The sequence below is a fragment of the Homo sapiens genome, chromosome 3 (genome assembly GCF_000001405.40).
Source record: "Homo sapiens chromosome 3, GRCh38.p14 Primary Assembly".
Lineage (NCBI taxonomy): Eukaryota > Metazoa > Chordata > Mammalia > Primates > Hominidae > Homo > Homo sapiens.
Genome location: NC_000003.12, coordinates 105,390,095 through 105,412,090, shown reverse-complemented (window position 1 = coordinate 105,412,090; position 21,996 = coordinate 105,390,095). Strand labels below are relative to the sequence as shown.

At 35.7% G+C, this 21,996-nt stretch overlaps 1 protein-coding gene across 4 annotated transcripts in view, besides 1 other annotated feature; it reads right to left on the bottom strand.

The window, feature by feature from the left end:
- ALCAM (activated leukocyte cell adhesion molecule) overlaps positions 1–21,996 on the bottom strand; it is a 209,992-nt gene that overhangs the window by 164,810 nt on the left and 23,186 nt on the right. The window lies entirely within an intron of this gene.
- Positions 8,873–10,072: an enhancer, noted in NCBI's record as "MED14-independent group 3 enhancer chr3:105120863-105122062 (GRCh37/hg19 assembly coordinates)". NCBI's record gives its function as "activates an origin of replication core promoter dependent on BRD2, BRD4, P300/CBP and CDK7 cofactors, and independent of MED14, by STARR-seq in HCT116 cells {active_cell/tissue: HCT116}" and the evidence as "EXISTENCE:reporter gene assay evidence [ECO:0000049][PMID:35650434]".

Here is a 21,996-nt window from a genome sequence, read left to right as displayed (position 1 = left end):
TGATGCTATTAGTCCTGACATTAAATGCCTCTAGGGGAAAAGATTCTATTTCCTCCTTCAGCAACCTGTTTCAGTTCATAAAAATGCCCTTATCAGTATGAGATTTTTTTCGCCTTTGCTCCTGTTTACAACATAAATTTTTTATATGTGATTAAATCATTTCTTATACTTTTCATCTTTAGAATAAAAATATTCTCCTCCTTAATTTTAGGTTATACTTCTTTTCTAGGTTATGGGATCCTAAACACAGAGGACTGTAGAGCTTTCTCTGTGTTCTCTCCAACATCAGAAGCTATCTATGGCAGCAGGTGCCTAGTCACCTGAGGATTTCTGTTGTCTTTTAGGCTGGAAGAAGTCCTGTTCAGCTCTCTTCAAATGACTACACAGCATCTCTAAACTTTGAGCACTGCATATCTATTCTCCCTTTGTCCCTTTGCTCATTTTTGATGAATAATATTCTCATAGACAGTATTCCCTAAGATGGGAATTACCCGTGTTACAAAGAGCGTTATGAAAATTAAATGAATGGAAACGTGTAAAGAGGTTAGAACAGTGCCTGCCACATAGTAACAGTTAATAAAATGTTAGCTAATGCTCCTGATGCCATTGTTACTATTCCTATTATCCCAGCTGCTGCTGCTGCTACTACTACCACTTCCACTGCTACTATCACTGCTACTGCTATTTCTACTGCTACTTCTGCTGCTGTGGATGCTGCTACTATGCAATGAAAAATGTACTTTCTTTTACCAAGTGGGACATCCAGAAGTGAACTGGAATGCCTTAATATATTGAGGATAACCTCCTCCTAACTCCCAGCTCTTCTGAATTGCACAGTTGAGCTGGGTTCTCCCTGATCAAATGATCTCTAACACAATTATTATCCACTTTATAAAGATACTGCAGCAAATTTATACAGATCAGGGACTCTAGGATCTCTGGCCCTTCACTATTCCTGAGATCTTTCTGACAGTCTGTCATGTTGTAAGAGCTGCATTAATGTTTTTCCATTACCATTAATAATTGAAAGCTCATCTAATAGAAATATCTTTCAATATTATATGATGTTTAACAACTCCATTAATGGGTTAGGAGAAGTATGGTATACACAAGTATAGAAAATTCTAGGGATAAACCAAATATGGAATTCCTTAAAAAGGTCTACAATGGGAAAAATTACACTTTTTCCTCTGTAAGTTGATGTCAAAGGGTGTTTTGAATATAATTATCATTTCATAACAATTTTTATTTTCAAAGTGCCCCACAATCATTTCTAATATTTATTCTTCATACAAACCCTCACAAGAGAGTACTGCATTCATCAAACATTTTTTCACAGATGAAGCAATTTAAGAATGGGTCAAAATGTGATTAGATTTCACAGTCTCTGAGTTGCTAGCCTGCTGTTAAGTCAATTGAACCTGCCTGCCTCGGAAAGGTAAACAGAATAAATGAGTTAGCATTTAGATTTACAAATGTATCAACAGTGGATCATAAAACAAGTTAGCAAAGCCTATATCCCCGGAGATACAGACAATACGGTGGTATTACATGGTGGTTCATGTATGTGTATATGTTTGAGTATTTATGTAGTACCACATAACTACATAAACACTCAGAGTGGTACTACATAAAGACTCAAACATACACACGTACATGAACAAGAAATGGACATTAACTCTTCTGACTTACTTCACCTTAAACCAATTCTAATTTTCAGATAGATTTTACGGTAGATGTCTTGGTAGACACTACCTTTTTTCCTCTAATTTAAGACAATTTGTCTTTGTGGTTATTAAGGTGGCCTAGCCAACCTGCCTTTCCCATTGTGCTAATTCTGGGTGACCCATATTGGCAATCTTGGAGACAACCTACAAATAGTATGGGTAGTCAGGTGGTTCTGTTACAGCATCAAAAGATGACTATGAGAGTAAAATAAAACCAGCACTGTAAAGATACAAGGGCCAAATTCAAGTTCCGGTTGGTACTCCTATTTTTAAAGATAGGAATAAATGTCATGACACATTTTCCCAAACTCACAGAATGTACAACAGCAAGCGTGAACCCTAATGTAAGCTATGGATCATGGGTGATAATAATGTGTCAACGCTGGGGTCATCAGTTGTAACAAAGTACCTCTCTCATGGAGCATGTTGATAATGGAGAAGGCTATGCACATGTTGCAAAAGGGGATATATAGGAAATTTTTGTACCTTTTGTTGAATTTTGGTGTGAATATAAAACATCTCTAAAAAATAAAGTATATTAGAAAATACAGATCAATCTGGCCCAAACTCGTTGTTTAGCTCCTATTGGCAATATATGATAAAATAATTCATTGATTGTTAGGACAGGAAATTTCTTTTCTTTTTAATTTTTTTTTAATTTCTATAGGTTTTGGGGAACAGGTGGTGTTTGGTTACATGAGTAAGTTGTTCAGTGGTGATTTCTGAGAGTTTGCTGTGCCCATCACCTGAGCAGTGTACACTGTACCTAATGTGTCATCCTTTATCCCTTGCCATTCCCCAGCCTTTCTCCTGAGTCACCAAAGTCCAATGCGTCATTCTTATGCCTTTGCACCCTTATAGCTTAGCTCCCACATATGAGTGAAAATATATGATGCTTGGTTTTCCATTCTTGAGTTACTTAACTTCGAATGATAGTCTCCAATTCTATACAGGTTGCTGTGAATATCATTATTTCCTTCCTTTTTATGGCTGAGTAGCATTCCATGGTGTGTGTGTATATATATATATGTCACATTTTCTTTATCCACTCATTGACTGATGGACATTTGAACTGGTCCCATATTTTTGCAATTGTAAATTGTGCTGCTATAAACATGCATGTGCAAGTATCTTTTTCATATGACTTCTTTTCCTCTGGGTAGATACCTAGTGGCGGGATTGCTGGATCAAATAGTAGATCTACTTTTAGTTTTTAAGGAATCTCCACATTGTTTTTCCATAGTGGTTGTACTAGTTTACATTCCCTCCAACAGCATAAAACTGTTCCCTTTTCACTGCATCCATTCCAACATCAATTATTTTTTAATTTTTTGATTATGGTCATTCTTCAGGAGTGAGGTGGTACTGCACTGTGGTTTTGATTTGCATTTCCCTGATAATTAGTGATGTTGAGCTTTTTTCCTTATGCTCATTGGTCAATTGTACATCTTCTTTTGAGAATTATCTATTCATCTCCTTAGCCCGCTTTTTGATGGAATTGTTTTTTTTCTTGCTGATTTATTTGAATTCTTTGTAGATTCTGGATATTAGTCCTTTGTCAGATGTACAGATTGTGAAGAGTTTCTCCTACTCAGTGGGTTGTCTGTTTACTCTGCTGACTGTTCCTTTTGCTGTGCAAAAGCTTTTTAGTTTAATTAAGTACCAACTATTTACCTTTGTTTTTGTTGCATTTGCTTTTGGATTCTTGGTCTTGATGTCTTTGCCTAACTCAATGTCTAGAGAGGTTTTTCTTATGTTACCTTGTAGAATCTGTATAGATTCAGGTCTTAGATTTAAGTCTTTGATCCATCTTGAGTTGATTTTTGTATAAGGTAAGAGGAGAATCCAGTTTCATTCTTCCACATGTGGCTTGCCAATTATCCCAGCACCATTTGTTGAATAGGGTGTCCTTTCCCCACCTTATGTTTTTGTTTGCTCTGTCAAAGATCAGTTGGATGTAAATATTTGGGTTTATTTCTGGGTTTTCTATTCTGTTCCATTGTTCTATGTGCCTATTTTTATACCCGTATCATGCTGTTTTGGTGACTATGGCCTTATAGTACAGTTTGAAGTAGGGTAATGTGATGCCTCCAGATTTGTTCTTTTTGCTTTGGCTATGTGGGCTCTTTTTTTGTTTCATATGACTTTTAAGTTTTTTTTTTCTAGTTCTGTGAAGAATAATGGTGGTATTTTTGATGGGAATTGCATTGAATTTGTAAATTGCTTTTGGCAGTATGGTCATTTTCACCATATTGTTTCTACCCAACCATGAGCATGGGGTGTGTTTTCATTTGTTTGTGTCATGTATTATTTCTTTCAGCAGTGTTTTGTAGTTTTCTTTGTAAGGTCTTTCACGTCCTTAGTTAGGTATATTCTTAAGCATTTTATTTTATTTTTTGCAGCTATTGTAAATCAGGTTGAGTTCTTGATTTGATTCTCAGCCTAGTCACTGTTAGTATATAGCAGAGCTACTGATTTGTGTACATTAATTTTGTGTCCTGAAACTTTGCTGAATTCATTTACCAGTTCTAGGATCTTAATAAGTCTTTAGGATTTTCTAGATATATAACCATATCATCAGCACACAGTGACAGTTTGACTTCCTCTTCGGATGCCCTTTATTTCTTTCTCTTATCTGATTGCTCTGAATAGGACTTCCAGTATTGTGTTGAAAAGAAGTGGTGAAAGTGGGCATCCTTATCTTGTTCCAGTTATCTGGGGGAATGCTTTCAACTTTTCCCATTCAGTATGATGTTGGCTGTGGGTTTGTCATAGATGGCTTTCATTACCTTAAGGTATATCCCTTCTCTGCCAATTTTGCTGAGGGCTTTAATAATAAAGGGATACTGAATTTTGTCAAATGCCTTTTCTGCATCTATTGAGATGATCATGTGATTTTTGTTGTTAATTCTGTTTATGTGGTGTATCGCATCTATTGACTTATGTATGTTAAACAATCCCTGCATCCCTGGTATGAAACCCACTTAATCTTGGTGGACTATCTTTTTGATATGCTGTTGGAATTGGTTTGCTAGCATTTTGTTTAGGATTTTTGCATCTATGTTCATTAGGGATACTGATCTGTTGTTTTTTTTTTGTTGTTGTTGCTGTTGTTGTTATGTCCTTCTCTGGTTTTGGTATTAGGGTGATAGTGACTTCACAGAAGGATTTAGGGAGGATTCCCTCTTTCTCTATCTTTTGGAATAGTGTCATTAGGATTGGTGCCAATTCTTTGAATGTCTAATAGAATTCAGCTGTGAATCCATCTGGTCCTGGACTTTTTTTTGTTGGCATTTTCTTTTTATTACCATTTCAGTCTTGTTGCTTGTTATTGGTCTGTTCAGAGATTCTGTATCTTCCTGGTTTAATATAGGAGGGTTGTATGTTTCCAGGAATTTATTCGTCTCCTCTACATTTTCTAGTTTATGTGCGTAAAGGTGTTCATAGTCGTCTTGAATGACCTTTTGTATTTCTGTGGTGTCAGTTGCAATATCTCCCGTTTCATTTGTAATTGAGCTTATTTGGATTTTCTGTCTCCTTTTCTTGGTTAATCTTGCTAATGATCTATCAGTTTTATTTACCTTTTCAAAGAACCAGTTTTTTTTTTTCATTTATCTTTTTATTGTTTTTTGTTGTTGTTGTCGTTTAAATTTCATTTAGTTGTGTTCTGATCTTAGTTATTTCTTTTCTTCGGCTGAGTTTGAATTTGGATTGTTTTTGTTCCTCCAGTTCCATAAGGTGTGACTTTAGATTGTCTATTTGTGCTTTTTCAAACTTTCCAATGTAGGCATTTAATGCTATGAACTTTCCTCTTAGCACCACTTTTGCTGTTTCCCGGAGGTTTTGATAGGTTGTGTTGTGGTAGGTCAGCTCTCACTAACAGCTGTTTCAGTATTGACTGAGTGGTTAAGTTAAATATTAAAAGCCAGTGCCCTTATACAATGGCTGGGATGTAACAAAAAGCCCATCAGGAGTTTTGCCTAGGCCTTTCCTGGGCCTTAAAGCATGACAAAATAACGAAGGAATTCTTAATAGGACCCATTTAGGACTAAAGTTTTATTGTGGGTCTAAAGAAACTTCCCAGACCTCCACAAACAAGTTTATTGGGGGTCTGAAGAACTCCTCAAACCTCCATGATTTAGCAGGAGACAAGATAAGGGTAATTACCCCAGTATCTGGACCCATGTAGATTAAGTAAGACATTTACTGAGGCTCCAGAGCAAGGTCTTCAGGACTCAGACCTTAGTTACAGATTAAAAGAAGTTGATCACTGTGTCTTTAGGCGAATGCACACTTACACATAGACATATAGCCTAGAAAGTATATAAGCTCTGGAAAACTTTATAATTTTGAATTGGTCTAGTGATAATTTCCAGGTCTTCTCCCTGTAACCGGTTACAGAAATAAAAACTCTCTTCCTCCCCAGTTTATCTGCATCTCATTATGGGGCTGTGAGAAATAACAGCCCAACCCTCAGTTTGGTCCGGGAACAGTGTCACTATTATCATTCAATTAAATGAATTTTTAAATTTCCATCTTGATTTTATTGTTGATGCAATGATCATGGAGGAGCAAGTTATTTAATTTCCATGTATTTGCATGGCTTTGAGGGTTCCCTTTGGAATTGATTTCCAATTTTACTCCACTGTGGTCTGAGAGAGTACATGATATAATTTTGGTTTTCTTAAATTTACTGAGACTTGTTTTGTGGCCTATTATATCATCTGTCTTGGAGAATGTTCCATGTGCTGATGAATAGAATGTATATTCTGCAGTTGTTGGGTAGAATGTTCTGTAAATATCTGTTAAGTCCATTTGTTATAAAGTATAGTTTAAGTCCATTGTGTCTTTGTTGACGTTCTGTCTTGATGACCTGTCTGGTGCTGTCAGTGGAGTATTAAAGTCCGTCACTATTATTGTGTTGTCATCGATCTCATTTCTTAGGTCTGGTAGTAATTGTTTTATAAATTTGAGAACTCTTAGGTGCATATGTATTTAGAATTGGGGTATTTTCCTGTTGGTCTAGTCCTTTTATCATTATATAATGTCCCTCTTTGTCTTTTTTTTTTTTTTTTTTTTTTTTTTTGAGACGAAGTTTTGCTCTTGTTGTCCAGGCTGGAGTGCAATAGTATGATCTTGGTTCACTGCAACCTCCACCTCCCAGGTTCAAGCGATTCTCCTGCCTTAGCCTGCCAAGTAGCTGGGATTACAGGCATGTGCCACCACGCCCAGCTAATTTTGTATTTTTAGTAGAGACAAGGTTTCTCCATGTTGGTCAGGCTGGTCTCGAATTCCCGACCTCAAGTGGTCTGCCTGCCTCGGTCTCCCAAAGTGTTGGGATTACAGGTATGAGCCACCCCACTGGGCCCCCTCTTTGTCTTTTTTAACTGCTGTTGCTTTAAAGTTTGTTTCGTCTGACATAAGAACAGCTAATCCTGCTTGCTTTTAGCGTCCATTTGCGGAATATCTTTTTCCACACCTTTATCATAAGTTTATGTGAATCATTATGTGTTAGGTGAGTCTCCTGAAGATAGCAGAAACTTGGTTGGTGACTTCTTATCCATTCTGTCATTCTGCATCTTTTAAGTGGAGCATTTAGGTCATTTACATTCAATGTTAGTATTGAGATATGAGGTACCATTCTATTCATCGTGCTATTTTTTTTCCTAAATACCTTGTTTTTTTTTTCATTGTGTTATTGTTATATAGGTCCTGTGAGATTTATGCTTTAGGGAGGTTCTATTTTGTGTATATTGAGGATTTGTTTCAGGATTTAGAGCTCCTTTTAGCAGTTTTTGTAGTGCTGGCTTGGTAGTGGCAAATTCTCTTAGCATTTGTTTGTCTGGAAACAACTGTATCTTTCCTTCATTTATGAAGCTTAGTTTCACTGGATACAAAATTCTTGGCTGATAATTGTTTTGTTTAGGAGGCTAAAAATAGGACCCCAATCCCTTCTACCTTGTAGGGTTTCTGCTGAGAAATGTGCTGTTAATCTGATAGGTTTTCCTTTGTAGGTTACCTGATGCTTTTGCCTCACAGCTCTTAAGATTCTTTCTTTTGTCTTGACTAGATAACGATGACTACATGCCTAGTCAATGATCTTTTTGCAACGAATTTCCCAGGTGTTCTTTGAGCTTCTCATCTTTGGATGTCTAGATCTCTAGCAATTCCAGGGAAGTTTTCCTTAATTATTCCCTCAAATATGTTTTCAATACTTTTAGATTTCTCTTCTTCCTCAGGATCACCAATTATTCTTAGGTTTGGATGTTGAACATAGTCCCAAACTTCTTCGAGGCTTTGTTCATTTTTTTTCCATTCTTTTTCTTTGTTTTTGACAGATTGGGTTAATTCAAAAGACTTGTCTTTGAGCTCTGAAGTTCCGTCTTCTGCTTGTTCAATTCTATTGCTGATACTTTCTAGTACATTTTGCATTTCTCTAAGTGTGTCCTTGATTTCTAGAAGTTGTGATTGTTTTTTATTTATGCTATCTATTTCACTGAAGAATTTTCCTTTCATATCCTGTATCATGTTTTTTATTTCATTAAGTTGGACTTCACTTTTCTCTGGTGGCTCCTGGATTAGCTTAATAATCAACCTTCTAAATTCTTTTTCTGGCAATTCAGAGAATTTTGTCTTGGTTTGGATCCATTGCTGGTGAGCTGATATGATCTTTTTGGGGTGTTGAAGAAACCTCTTTTGTCGTATTACCAGAATTGTTTTTCTGATTCCTTTTCGTTGGTGTAGACTATGTCAGATGGCAGATCTGGGATTCAAGGGCTGTTGTTCAGATTCTTTTGTCCCACAGGGTGCTCCCTTGATGTGGTGTTCTCCCCCTTCTCCTAGGAGTGGGGCTTCCTGAGAGCCAAACCGTCATGATTGTTTTTGCTCTTCTAGGTCTGGCAACCCAGTGGAGCTACCAGCTTAGGCTGGTACTGGGGAGTGTCTGCAATGAGTCTTGTGATGTGATCCGTTTTCAGGTCTCGCAGCCTGCTCCGGTGAAGGTATCAGGGGAGTGAAGTGGACACCATAAGGGTCCCTGGTTGTGTTTTTATTTAGTGCACTGATTTTGTGTTTGTTGGCCTCCAGCCAGAAGGTGATGCTTTCAAGAGCACATCAGAGCTGGGTGTGGCGGTTCACACCTGTAATCCCGGCACTGTGGGAGGCTGAGGTGGGTGGATCACCTAAGGTCAGGAATTCGAGACCAGCCTGGCCAACATGGGGAAACCCCGTCTCTACTGAAAATACAAAAATTGGCTGGGCGTGGTGGCGGGCATCTGCAATCCCAGCTACTTGGGAGGCTGAGGCAGGAGTATCACTTGAACCCAGGAAGAAGAGGTTGCAATGAGCTGAGATTGCACAATTGCACTCCAGCCTGGGCAACAAGAGCAAAACTCCATTTAAGAAAAAAAAAAAAAAAAAAAAAAAGCGCATCAGCTGCAATCCTATAGAGAAGATGCAAACTTGCCCTAGGGACACCTGGTTAAGTATTCAGGTTTCTCAGACGGTGGGCAGGGCTATAGGGCTCCCAGGAGATTATGATCTTTGTCTTTGGCTACCTGGGCAGGCAGAGGATGACCACTAGGTAGGGGCAGGGATAGACGTGTCTGAACTCAGCCTCTCCTGGGCAGAGCTTGCTGTGGCTGCCATGGGGGATGGGGGTGCAGTTATAACTCCAATGGAGTTACATTCCAAGGGGGATTATGGCTGCCTCTGCTGAGTCATACAGGTCTCCAAGGAAGTGGGAGAAAGCCAGCAGTCACGGGCCACACCCCGCTCCCATGCAGCCTGCACACCTAAAGGCCGGTCTCACTCCCACCATGCCCCACCAACAGCACCGAGTCTATTTCTATGCAGCAGGTGACCAGGGCTGAGAATTTGCCCCAAACCACGAGACTCCCCATTGAGAAAGCAAGCTGACTCACAGTTTTTCAGCATCTCATGGAGCCTGCAGCAGTGATACAGTTCCTTCAAAGGGTCTGTGGATTCTCTCTGCTTTCCTGGTATGTTCCTGCTGTAGTTCTTGGAGCAATGGTTCACAATGAATCTCCACACACTGCTCTGTCTGTCTGAGTGGGAGCCACAAGCTAGTCCTGCCTCCTATCCAACATCTTCTAGTTGCAATATCGACATTTCTAATAATATGACAAAGTATCTAGATTTGGCACATTTCTTGATGGAATATTTCCATTGAGTATAAATGAAATCACTATATTATCTAAGAGTAAGCTGTTTTATTTACTTTCTGTATAAGCCTTATCTTGACATCTATGATGGGGATGTTTGGTAAAGCTTCATGATTGTTATTTCTATCACTCACTTTGCTTCCTGTTTGTCATCATTCACTACCCCAAGTTGCTATTTTTCTTCTCTGTTTTTTTCAAGCAGTCGTTTGCAATCATGGCTACACATTAGAATCACTTCTAAAGCTTTTAAACAATACTAATGCCTGAGCCCCAAGTCTAGAAATTCTTATTTCATTGTCTGTGGTTAGACTCAATTATTCATATTTTCAAAACTTCCAAGATGATCCTAAGTGCAGTCAGGGTTGAAAACCACTAGTCTAGAGGAGTTTACTTTGCTTCAGAACACCTAAGTCACATGGACATTCCTTAATAATGAGAAAGACGGGGTCATTAAAAGGGCTATACTATGGGGGTGGCAACTTTACTCAACTTCTTCAACTTAATATGAAGAAGTCTTTCTAAAAGAGTCAGAATGATTTAAAACAAATTTTAGACATACTACAAGTTCTACAAAGGCAAGGACTCTATCTATCTTAGTGATTATTGTATTTTCAGGTGTTGGTAGTTCCATGCTGATAACATATAAACACTTGATAAAAATTTACTGGATGAATGAATGAATAAACAACCGCACTGAGAGCAACCATGAGCTTAGTGGAAAATACAGCGTATTTCTTGTGACAATGCTATCTGACTATTATCTTCTCCTGAACATTTTGTACTGCTCCTCTACTGTGCTGCTCCTGTGTCTCAGCCCCTAAGGAAACTTCCCAAGTAGTTGTGTATAGGAGTCAGCAAAATTCGTAAGATTCAGTGGTGATCTTTCAAATACTAGACGTAAATTACAGAGACAGTACATAATTTCAGTTTTTATTTATTGTCTACTTACATTTATTTCTATTCCACACAAAAGGGGATCATCAGCTACTAAGGTGTGGGTGTTCCTTGTGGAATCAGTAGCCAATTTCTAAGAAACGATCAATGCCTGTAGCAGTTCCTTGTTATGCACTAATCTAGGTTCAACTTCCATGGAAAATACACTTCTGGTATAATTCTGATTGTCCAGAGTTTGTTTGCTTTTCCTTTATAATACAGTTTTGCTTTTCTTTAATAGTAAGAGTCTTTAGTAATAGTTCGATTCTTGAGTGCCTACTTTGTGTACAAAATGCTTTAATACACATTTTTAAAATTTAATTATGCCACTAACTTTATAAAACAGGTATTACCTTCCCCATTTTACAGATGGGAATTAAAGTATCCAAAGACTGATGTAACTTTCTCAACGGCAAATGACTAGCTGGTAACTGAGTAGAAATCTAATCCCTGGTCTACTTAACCCCATCTCTGAACAATAGATTAGTTTCTCTTCTCTTCCCTCAACCAACAAATCCCACCACCACTTCCAACACAACTACCATCATTCCATCTTCAGGGAATCTTACACTTGAGTGTTTAGTATTTCTTCACTTCTGTCTAGAAAGAGTTCTTCTCTTTACGTATGTCCTGAGGGTCTTTTACTCATCTCTGAACCTGAGACTAAAAAATGTTAAAAATTCTTATTATTACTGTATTACTCTTCTAAATTTATAGTATTCTAAAATGACAGTGGTAAAATCATTATATAAATGCAAATGATACATTATGCTCAGTCTATTAAAGTTCTCCTTCACAGTATCAATGAATAAAATTAAAATTTATTTTACATTTCTTTTACAATATTTCATACCTGCAAAAATGAAGATATTAGGTTTCTGCTTATTATTTATAAGTTAAATGACATATTAAATGATGTTTGCAGCAGATTTTTTTAAGGCATTTTTCAAAACCTAATAGTAAAGTATCTGTTTTATCAATGGCAGATTAGAAGCTTTCAAATACTTTACCCACAAACATGCTATAAGAAAAATACTTTATCATCTTCTTAATGACCCAAACAAGGGCTATCTGCTTTTCTCATTCTTCCTGTGTATGTTTAAAAGCATCTATGCCCTTTTATCAGCCTTAACAGGACAACGTAGTTAACCCTTCCAACTATTATGCTTATAACCTCAATTATTTAAAAACAGGTAGGGACAACTTATAAAATCTGTATATAACAATAAAGGTATTAACAAGTCAGTGACAGAAAGTAGGTGATGATAGTCAGGGATGGGGTAAGGAAATTTAGGACAATGTTTGCTACTTTTTAAGAACAGTTTTTATACGAAGGGATGTAGGCTGTCTGCTAACCAAGTTAATCTTAGCCAGTGGGTAAGAATGCTCTGTATTCTAAGGCCAATGGTGACTGCTGAAAAAGAGCCAAAGTTTTCCAAACAGAGTGGCTCTTGTTGTCTTTGTGGGAACTGACTGGCTCTTGGATTTTCCAGGGAGGGCAGGTTTTCATGGTTTGAGTGGTCAGAAAAGGATAGCCTGAAAGATTGGTCAAAAAACATAAAACCATCAGGATATAACATTAAACCATTAAGAGATTATGAAATTAGCATTAGTTACAGTAACTGGATATAGTCTTTTGCTTATTTCATTCACTTTTTTTCATACTGAAATCTGATAAGAAATTAAAAGAATTGTAGACAATAAATCTAGGCCTAATATGTGTATTTATATGCAACAATATACATTTATTGCCACTAAATATTCCCTCTTAACTACTCTGAATTGCTTTAACTAGTTATTTGATATATGGGTAATAATAAAATTTATATTCTGATGTAATATGACATTTTGATTTATACTTTCAAACTTACAAAGTTTAAAAGGAAAGATGAGTATTGTAAATATACCAACAATCACTGCACTAGCTTTTAGAAAGGTAACAGGCATGCAATTTCCTTGAAACTAAAGTGTAAAGAAAAAAAATAGGTCAGCAAATATTTACTGAAATTTGCTGGGTACGATGATGCATACAGAAATGATCAGTGTCTGAACTATATCTGAATAATTTCTGTTAAAACTGAAATGCAATTATTTTTGAAATGCAAAAGACCACCAAACTCAAGTAGCATTTTAAAAAAATGACAAAAATCAGTTGCAGTCTGTGTTTTAAAGGAATTTCAAATATGCCTTATAAGAAATTCACATTAGGGGCTGCATTTCTATGTATTTTGAGTAAACTAACCAAAGTAACTTAAGATTCACAAGGAAAAGAGATGAGAGTAGAACAAAATAAAAGAAGTGTGAATGTAGTAAAAAAAAATCAAAGAAAAGGAAGAAAAGGAAAAAAAAAAGCTTATGAGTCCTAGAAGGGTTAGAACACTTTTTTTTTCTTGCTCTTGGCAGAAGGAACAAAGCAACAAGCAATCTCCAGTGCTAAGAAAAATGTAGACATGAATTAATGGTGATTAGAAATTGGTAAATATTACCAGCTTCTTTATAAATGGCTCTCCTAAACATGCTATGGTTAATGGTTTAGGGTACAAAAGATATGACCAAAGCAAAAGCCATAAAAGAGGCTTTTATACTAAGGAAATAATTTATACAATAAACACAAGTGTAGTCATTCCAGCTGGCATGCTGCTATCCATCTTAATTATTGCAATAAATGAACCACTGGCCATCACATTTAAAAGACTATGGAAAACTGGATGGCTACCAAAAGATCAGAAAGAAAAGCTTTATGTTAAAATAAAGTGATGATTAAATTGAAAATCAGGCCATAATACTGATGATACATTTTCACTAGGCTAAATAAGGTAGCATTATCTCTGAAAATTATATTTACTTGACCTCGTAAATTTCTCAGTAATTTAAGAAGCAACTATATAATTTGTGCACTATCCACATACCAGATTGTATTTACAGAAAGCATTTTTTCTTCTGAAAAAAAATGAAAGAGGGGGAGCTGCAGTGGGCATGCATGGGTCAGCACAGCATAGGCTAATTGAAGTTTTGGTATATAGACAGCACTGCCTCCTCTAGGACAGCTGTTCTCAAAGTGTGGTCCCAGGACTGGCAACATCAGCAACATATGGGACCTTGTTAGAAATGCAAATTTGGAACCCCACTTCAGAAATACTGAATCTGAAACTGTAGATGTCAAGCCCAACAACCTATGTTTTAACAAACTCTCCAGGTGATTGAGAGGCACGTGCAAGTTTAAGAACCACCATTCCACCAAAACAAAAGCTTCATAGGACCATGTTTTCTTTATCACTGCATCCCTAGCATCCAACTTAACACAGTAGCTAACCCATGGTAGTCACTCAACAAATATTTGTTGAATTAATTAGTTAAGAAAGCTTTTATTAAAAAGTGGATTTAAAATGATATTCTAAAGCATTATTTTACATATTTTTAGTGTTGTCAAATAAATAATTCCATTTATCAAACAGAAGTTCAATTTTTTTAAAAGCTTCATTTTATTGGTTCAGTTCTTATTTGCATTTAGTCAAATTATATTTGGAAAACAAAGTGTTCTTTAAAAAGGTATGTGACAATCATTATACGTAAATAGTTTAGAATTTCTGGATGAGTGGTTAATTTGTTGTGTTTCGTTGTTATTGAAAATTGGAGGGAGGGTTATTTGAGGAAAGCTTGATCATGAAAAATGGAATCTACTACCTATTCATGAATATATTATGTTATGTTAAATAACAAGAAGTGATAGCTATAAGTTTAAATTGATATGTTTAAATCTATTATCTCTATACTTGGTATAAATTATTTTTTAAATTTAGTCACCCATTTAAACTTAGAGTTATCACTTTTTGTTATTCAACATAACATAATGTACTTACATAATTTTGAATTACAAAGCAACTCAAGCACTTTGACTAAGTTTACTTCATATATACATGTGTACAACTTGCAGAAGATACACTTTATTTTTCAAAAGTAATGTTTATAAGGAATAAACAAAAATCAAAACTTAAAACAATAGTATAATATTTATCTGTAAAGCTTAAACTCACATTGCCAGTTAGATAAGGGAACAAATGCCAAGAGAAAAATTTATTAATCTCAAAAGGCAGAGTAATGGCCTCATCATTTCACAAAGCACAATTTCAGGAGACACACTTTATTGTATTTCTTTGTGTGAATTATAAACTTTAGTAGAAAATGGGAAATAGGCAAAGTAATACATTTTAACTGTAGCACACCAATTGATATAGCCTCGCAAAAAAAGGTTATTTTGAAAAATTAATTCAATTCATCTACAATAGGAAACCTGTCACCATAAGCTGAAATTGGATAAAAGTCCACAGATAGTTAACACTTTCATGCCACCTAAAAGTATACATATGCTTTTTATGAAAAATTACTATCTCACATGCTAACATTTAACAAAGGAACTATAAAACTGCTAAGAAATGAATCCAGAGGCTATGGTCTTTGGAAAGGTATGGTAACCTTTAAGAGGGCAATCACTTTTTCCTAAATACTACTTGCAGAGTTAACCATCCCAATAATCGCTGACACCATGAACATCAAGGACAGACAGAGGACTGGGCAGTAGGGAAGCTATGGTTCCACAATATTTTTACTGTTAGATAGTAGATATTGCTGAAGAATGTCCAAAACTTCATTAAATCTACTAGAAATTAATTCTACTTAAAAACTCAATTTGTACTAATGCTTTTGTTCATCCTTTGTTTCTACCTTTTAGGAAGAAGTCCAGTAAGTTTCTAGTAATCTTGTCCCGTTTCTCAGTTTTGTCTCTTTCTCCAGATTTGAGACATTGCCCAATCAATCCCTGTGCTTTTCCAAGTTCAGTTTTGCCCTTTGAGTCTGATCCTTCTTTCCTTTTGGCTCCCACAGATATTCAGGTCTCTTCTATTTCAAAGATTCTCAGGAAGATCATACCTCCTAGCTCCTAAACCTCCTATTTCTCTCCTTATGATCATCACTAAGCTCCATTCTCTGTCTTCACTGTACTCCAATGATTTGCACAGCAGCCACATCCTTGAATTGTTGAATATAGATACAGTATTTTACTCATTTATTCAGCACCACGGTTATAACTTGCTTATGATGAGTGTCTAATAAATATTAATTTAATTAAGCAAAAAATGCTATAGTAGGCAGTTATTATTGTGCTTGCCCAGTCTACTTTATTAGCACATCCCAAGGCTTCTTGAAATTGCACAGAAACCTATCAAATTCCCCTCCTCCAATGTTAGTTGACTGGTCCTAAATGGACACCTGACCCAAGCTAAGCCAATCAGAAACCTTGCCCTGTGAATTCAGAACTAGGCAAACTATGTTTATTAAATGGAGGAGAACTCAATCCAGGAGACATGGGCTGCCATATGGCCTTAGAATCAAAATGGGATAGTCTTCAGAAAGAGAGAAGGCAAATGAAAAGAAAGAAGAGCTGAGGAATTGAGACAGACAGAACTGATAGCCTTCATGCCCTTAATTTAAATTCGTTCTTGAGATCTAAGTCCTAGCTTCATTATAGAGATGCATATCTTACTATAGCTCTGTTACAGAGACTTCTTGTTCCCTCGTTATATATCCCCCATATTTGCTTAAGCTAGATCCTGTTGATTCCTGTCATTGCAATAAGATATCCTAAATAACATGGTGTCATAAGTCATATTGAATTAATTGCTTTTAACTTAATAGTAAAAGAAAAGCATATTTTCATGGGAATAATCTAAAATGGAGAGCTGATGTAAAAGAATCACTTGACATCAAATAGAAAAAATATGTCACATGAGTATACATACATAACAATTTAGTAAGAAAACATCTCTGGATATAAGAAATAAGAGCTCATTTGTTGCTGTGAATTTCTCTATTTCTGTGTACTCTCCAAGGACAAAAAACTCTTGAATCTTCATATTATACTTTATAGGATTACAGTGACACTGTATGAAACATCCTCCTGAAAAAGTTGCATTGAAGATTGTACAACCTGAAGAGTAAAAACATATTCCATTGTGGTCACTAAATATATATTTTAATGGAAAGATCTTGAAAGGCCCAAAATAACTGCCAAAAAATTTTAATACCAGAAATCCTTTGTTAATAAGTTGGCAGGGCGGTCATTTGATGAAAAGTCAAATCATACATGTTGATTAACTTAAGATAAACTTTGAGAATAAGTTTATGGCATGAGGTACATGCTTTATTTACTGTGCTTACAGTTATAAAGTTAGAAATTACTCCGTGAAATACAGTCATTATTACCTTGCTTGCATTTTATTTCACCAATTATAAAACTACAACTACTTTCCACATTAGTAGAAAAAATGAATATATACAACCAAACCTTACAGGTCTGCTATAATAGGCTCAGAAAAAACAAAGGCAATTTGTGTAAGCTACTGAATTATCTAAAAAATTTCCCAAAATATAGTCATTGGTTTGCCATGCTTGTTTTATGGCTGCAGTTAATATTAAAATGGAAAAAGAAACCACCTTTCTGCCTAAACAATTTTGCAGATGTCAATAAATCTATAGATTGCAGGAGAAAATTGGAGTTGTGTAGTACTAAACACAATTTAACTCTGAAATTAAAAAAATATTTTCAGGAGTAGTTTATGGAATATATTACATGTCCTGTGTTTTCCCAAAAATAGTGAAAACTTGTTAAAATTCCTTTGGGACATAGGTCTGATTTATAAAGCCAGACTAGCTGGAAGGCATCTAAGGAAATCCCTGCAGTTTTGGTAAATGTAAATAACAACAAAGAAGCAGAGACATTTCTATGGGCCTGTTGAAAAGAGAACCAGGGATTCAGAAAAGCCTAGGCACGTGGGAGGAAATGCAGTCATTTCCAGATCATGACGTGTTTGCTCTGCAGGAGATAAGTACCTCAACATGCCTATGCTTCCCTCATCCCTCGCATGTCCCTTCCGCGTAGCTATGTATGTCCTTCTCAGACACAGACATACATAGGTAGTGAGTCATATGTCAGGGAAACACATAGCAAAGTAAAATGCGAAGTAAACAAAATTAACCGATTACTTTAAATTATTTTGTATTAGTGGATTCAATTGTCTAAGAATAAAATTTTAATCTTTTCAGCTTTAGGAGGCTTACAGGCTGTTACCATACTTAGTCAAAGTACTATAGTACTTGGCTACTAGTGAAAGTACCATAGTACTTGAATACTGATGTGAACCTCTTGAAAGAATGGACTCGAAATATTTTGTAAAAATACACAGGCACAAAATAACAGTATTTTGATATTACTGACTGCTTTTCCAAATTTGCAATTATCTATATTTGAGTGAGCTTAAAATAAAAATTTAGATAATATAAATTCCAAATCATGTGGAAAACTTACATGTATCTTCATGGAAATAAATAATAGGGCTTTTTGTATTTATTTGTTTTGTTCTTCTGTTGTATTTTGACTTATAATGAAGAATTATGGTTATAGAAGGTACCAGACATCAAATAGTCCTAAATCTAGACACTGTATTTCATTCATGTAGTATATTTTACTTCAAAACACTGCTTTCCAAATGCTGGTTTTCCAAATGTCTCAAGTCAGACATAAGGTTAAACAATGTAAACAATTTCTTTATACCAGGAGTTAGCAAAGCTCATTTCTATTGTGAATTCTAAGAGTGAGTATAAGTATATGCCATTATAAAATTAATTTGGTTGTGGTCTAATTATCTGGATCACAAGAATTTAGGAAATACTTCTCCAGAAATACTATGCCACAGCTTTTAAAATAATCCATTGTATTAAGTGTGGTTCAACAATCTTGAGTGTCAAAAAATTATTGATACAAAATTTAAATTCCTCTTATGGTATGTTTTCTTCTCATACTTGCTCGCCATAACATGTATAAATTTATTTCTACTGAAGAATATTTGCACTTCTGTTAACTGTATGTTTGGGTGATTTTTTTTTTAGTAGATATCCTCTAGGCTTACATTGTTACATTTGCAAATCACTTCAAAACATCAATCAAGAAGCAAACTATGCAACTTCATCTTAAATGTGATTTAACTTAAACATAGACTAATATAAGAATGGCAATAAAAATGAAAGATCATTTTAATTTCAATATGTTTGTAGGTTTATTGTAACAAATAAGAAAAAAATTCGCAAGCCTAACGGGGAAAAGAAACAAGCAACACATAAAAATGAGCACAACTGTTATCCTAAAGTTTCATAGGAACTATAACCAAAATTCCTAATTTCTCAATTCATAATAAATAAATTACTATGTGAGAAGATGTATCTTGTCTACAATTTTGGTAGTAATACTGTTGTTACAATAATTTTGCACTACAATCAAACTAGAACTCAAGATCAAGAAACTCACTCAAAATCACACAACTACATGGAAATTGAACAACCTGCTCCTGAATGACTCCTGGGTAAATAATGAAATTAAGGCACAAATCAAGATGATCTTTGAAACCAATGAGAACAAAGAGACAGTGTACCAGAATCTCTGGGACACAGCTAAAGCAGTGTTAAGAGGTAAATTTATAGCACTAAATGCCCAAATCAAAAAGTTAGAAAGATCTCAAATCATAAACCTAACATCACAACTGAAAGAATTGGAGAACCCAAAGCAAACAAACCCAGAAACTAGCAGAAGGCAAGAAATAAACAAGATCAGAGCAGAATTAAAGGAGATAGAGGCATAAAAAAACCCTTCAAAAAAATCAATGAATCTACGAGCTATTTTTTTTAAATAATAATTATAATAATAAAATAGCCTGCTAGCTAGACTAATAAAGAAAAAAAGAGAGAACAATCAAACAGACATAATAAAAAATGATAAAGGAGATATCACCACTGAACCCACAGAAATACAAACAACGATCAGAGAATACAATAAACACCGTTATGCAAATAAACTAGAAAATCTAGAAGAAAAGGAAAAATTCTTGGATACATACACCACCCCAAGACTAAACCAGGAAGAAGTGGAATCCCTGAATAGACCAATAGTAAGTTCTGAAATTGAGGCAGCAATAAATAGCCTACCAAACAAAAAAAAAGACCAGGACCAGAAGGATTTACAGCTGAATTCTACTGAAGGTACAAAGAGGAGCTGATACCATTTCTTCTGAAACTATTCCAAAAACTGAAAGACAGGGACTTCTTCCTAACTCATTTTGTGAGACCAGCATTATCGTGATACCAAAACCTGGCAGAAATACAAAAGAGGAAAACTTCAGGCCAATATCCCTGAAGAACACTGATGTAAAAATCATCAATAAAACACTGGCATACTGATCCAGCAGCACATCAAAAAGCTTATCCACCACAATCAAGTTGGCTTCATCCCCAGATGCAAGGCTGGTTCAACATACATAAAACAATCAATGTAATTCATCACATAAACAGAACTAAAGGAAAAAAACCACAATAATTATCTCAATAGATGCAGAGAAAGCCTTTGATAAAATTCAGCATCCCTTCAATAAATCAGGTATTGAAGGAACATACTTCAAAATAATAAGAGCCATTTATCACAAACCCATAGCCAATATCCCACTGAATGGGCAAAAGCTGGAAGCATTCCCCTTGAAAACCGACACAATATAAGGATGCCCTCTCTCACCACTCCTATTCAACATAGTACTGGAAGTTCTGGCCAGGGAAATCAGGCAAGAGAAAGAAATAAAAGATATTCAAATAGGAAGAGAGGAAGTAAAACTGTCTCTCTTTGCAGATGACATGATCCTATATCTAGAAAACTCCATCATCTTAGCCCCAAAGCTGATAAGCAACCTCAGCAAAGTCTCAGGATACAAAATCAATGTACAAAAATAAGCAGCATTCCTATACACCAACAATAGACAAGCAGAGAACCAAATCATGAATGAACTCCCATTCACAATTTCTACAAAGAGAGTAAAATACCTAGGAATACAACACACAAGGGATGTGAAGGACCTCTTCAAGGACAACTACAAACCACTTCTCAAGGAAATAAGAAAGGACGCAAACAAATGGAAAAACATTCCATGCTCATGGATAGGAAGAATCAGTATAGTGAAAATGGCCATACCGCCCAAAGTAATTTGTAGATTCAATGCTATTACCATCAAGCTACCACTGACTTTCTTCACAGAATTAGAAAAAAACTACTTTAAACTTCATATGGAACCAAAAAAGTGCCCATATAGCCAAGATAATCCTAAGCAAAAAGAACAAAGCTGGAGGCATCATGCTGCTTGACTTCAAACTACACTACAAGGCTACAGTAAGCAAAACAGCATGGTACAGGTACCAAAATAGATACATAGACCAATGGAACAGAACAGAAGCCTCAGAAATAACACCACACATCTACAACCATCTGCTCTTCGACAAACCTGACAAAAACAAACAATGAGGAAAGGATTCCTTATTTAATAAATGGTGCTGGGAAAACTGGCTAGCCATACGCAGAAAATTAAAACTGGACCCCTTCCTTATACATCAGACAAAATTAACTCAAGATGATAAAGCATTAAATGTAAAACACAAAACTACAAAAACCCTAGAAGAAAATCTAGGCAATACCATTCAGGACATAGGCATGGGCAAAGATTTCATGACAAAACATCAAAAGCAGTGGCAACAAAGGCAAAAATTGACAAATGGGATCTAAGTAAACTGAACAGCTTCTGCACAGCAAAGAAACTATTATCAGAGTGAACAGGCAACCTACAGAATGGGAGAAAATTTTTGCAATCTATCCATCTGACAAATGTCTAATATCCAGGGTCTGCAAGGAACTTAAAGAAATTTACAAGAAAAAAACCCAACAACCCCATTAAAAAGTGGGCAAAGGATATGAAGAGATAGTTCTCAAAAGAAGACATTTATGCAGCCAACAAACATATATAAACAAAGCTCAAAGTCACTAATCATTAGAGAAATGCAAATCAAAACCACAATGAGATACCATTTCATCCCAGTCAGAATGGCGATTATTAAAAAATCAAGAAACAACAGATGCTGCAGATGCTGGCAAGGCTATGGAGAAATAGGAATGCTTTTACACTGTTGGTGGTAATGTAAATTAGTTCAATCATTGTGGAAGACAGTGTGGTGATTCCTCTCAGACCTAGAACCATAAATACCATTTGACCCAGCCATCCCATTACTGGGTATAC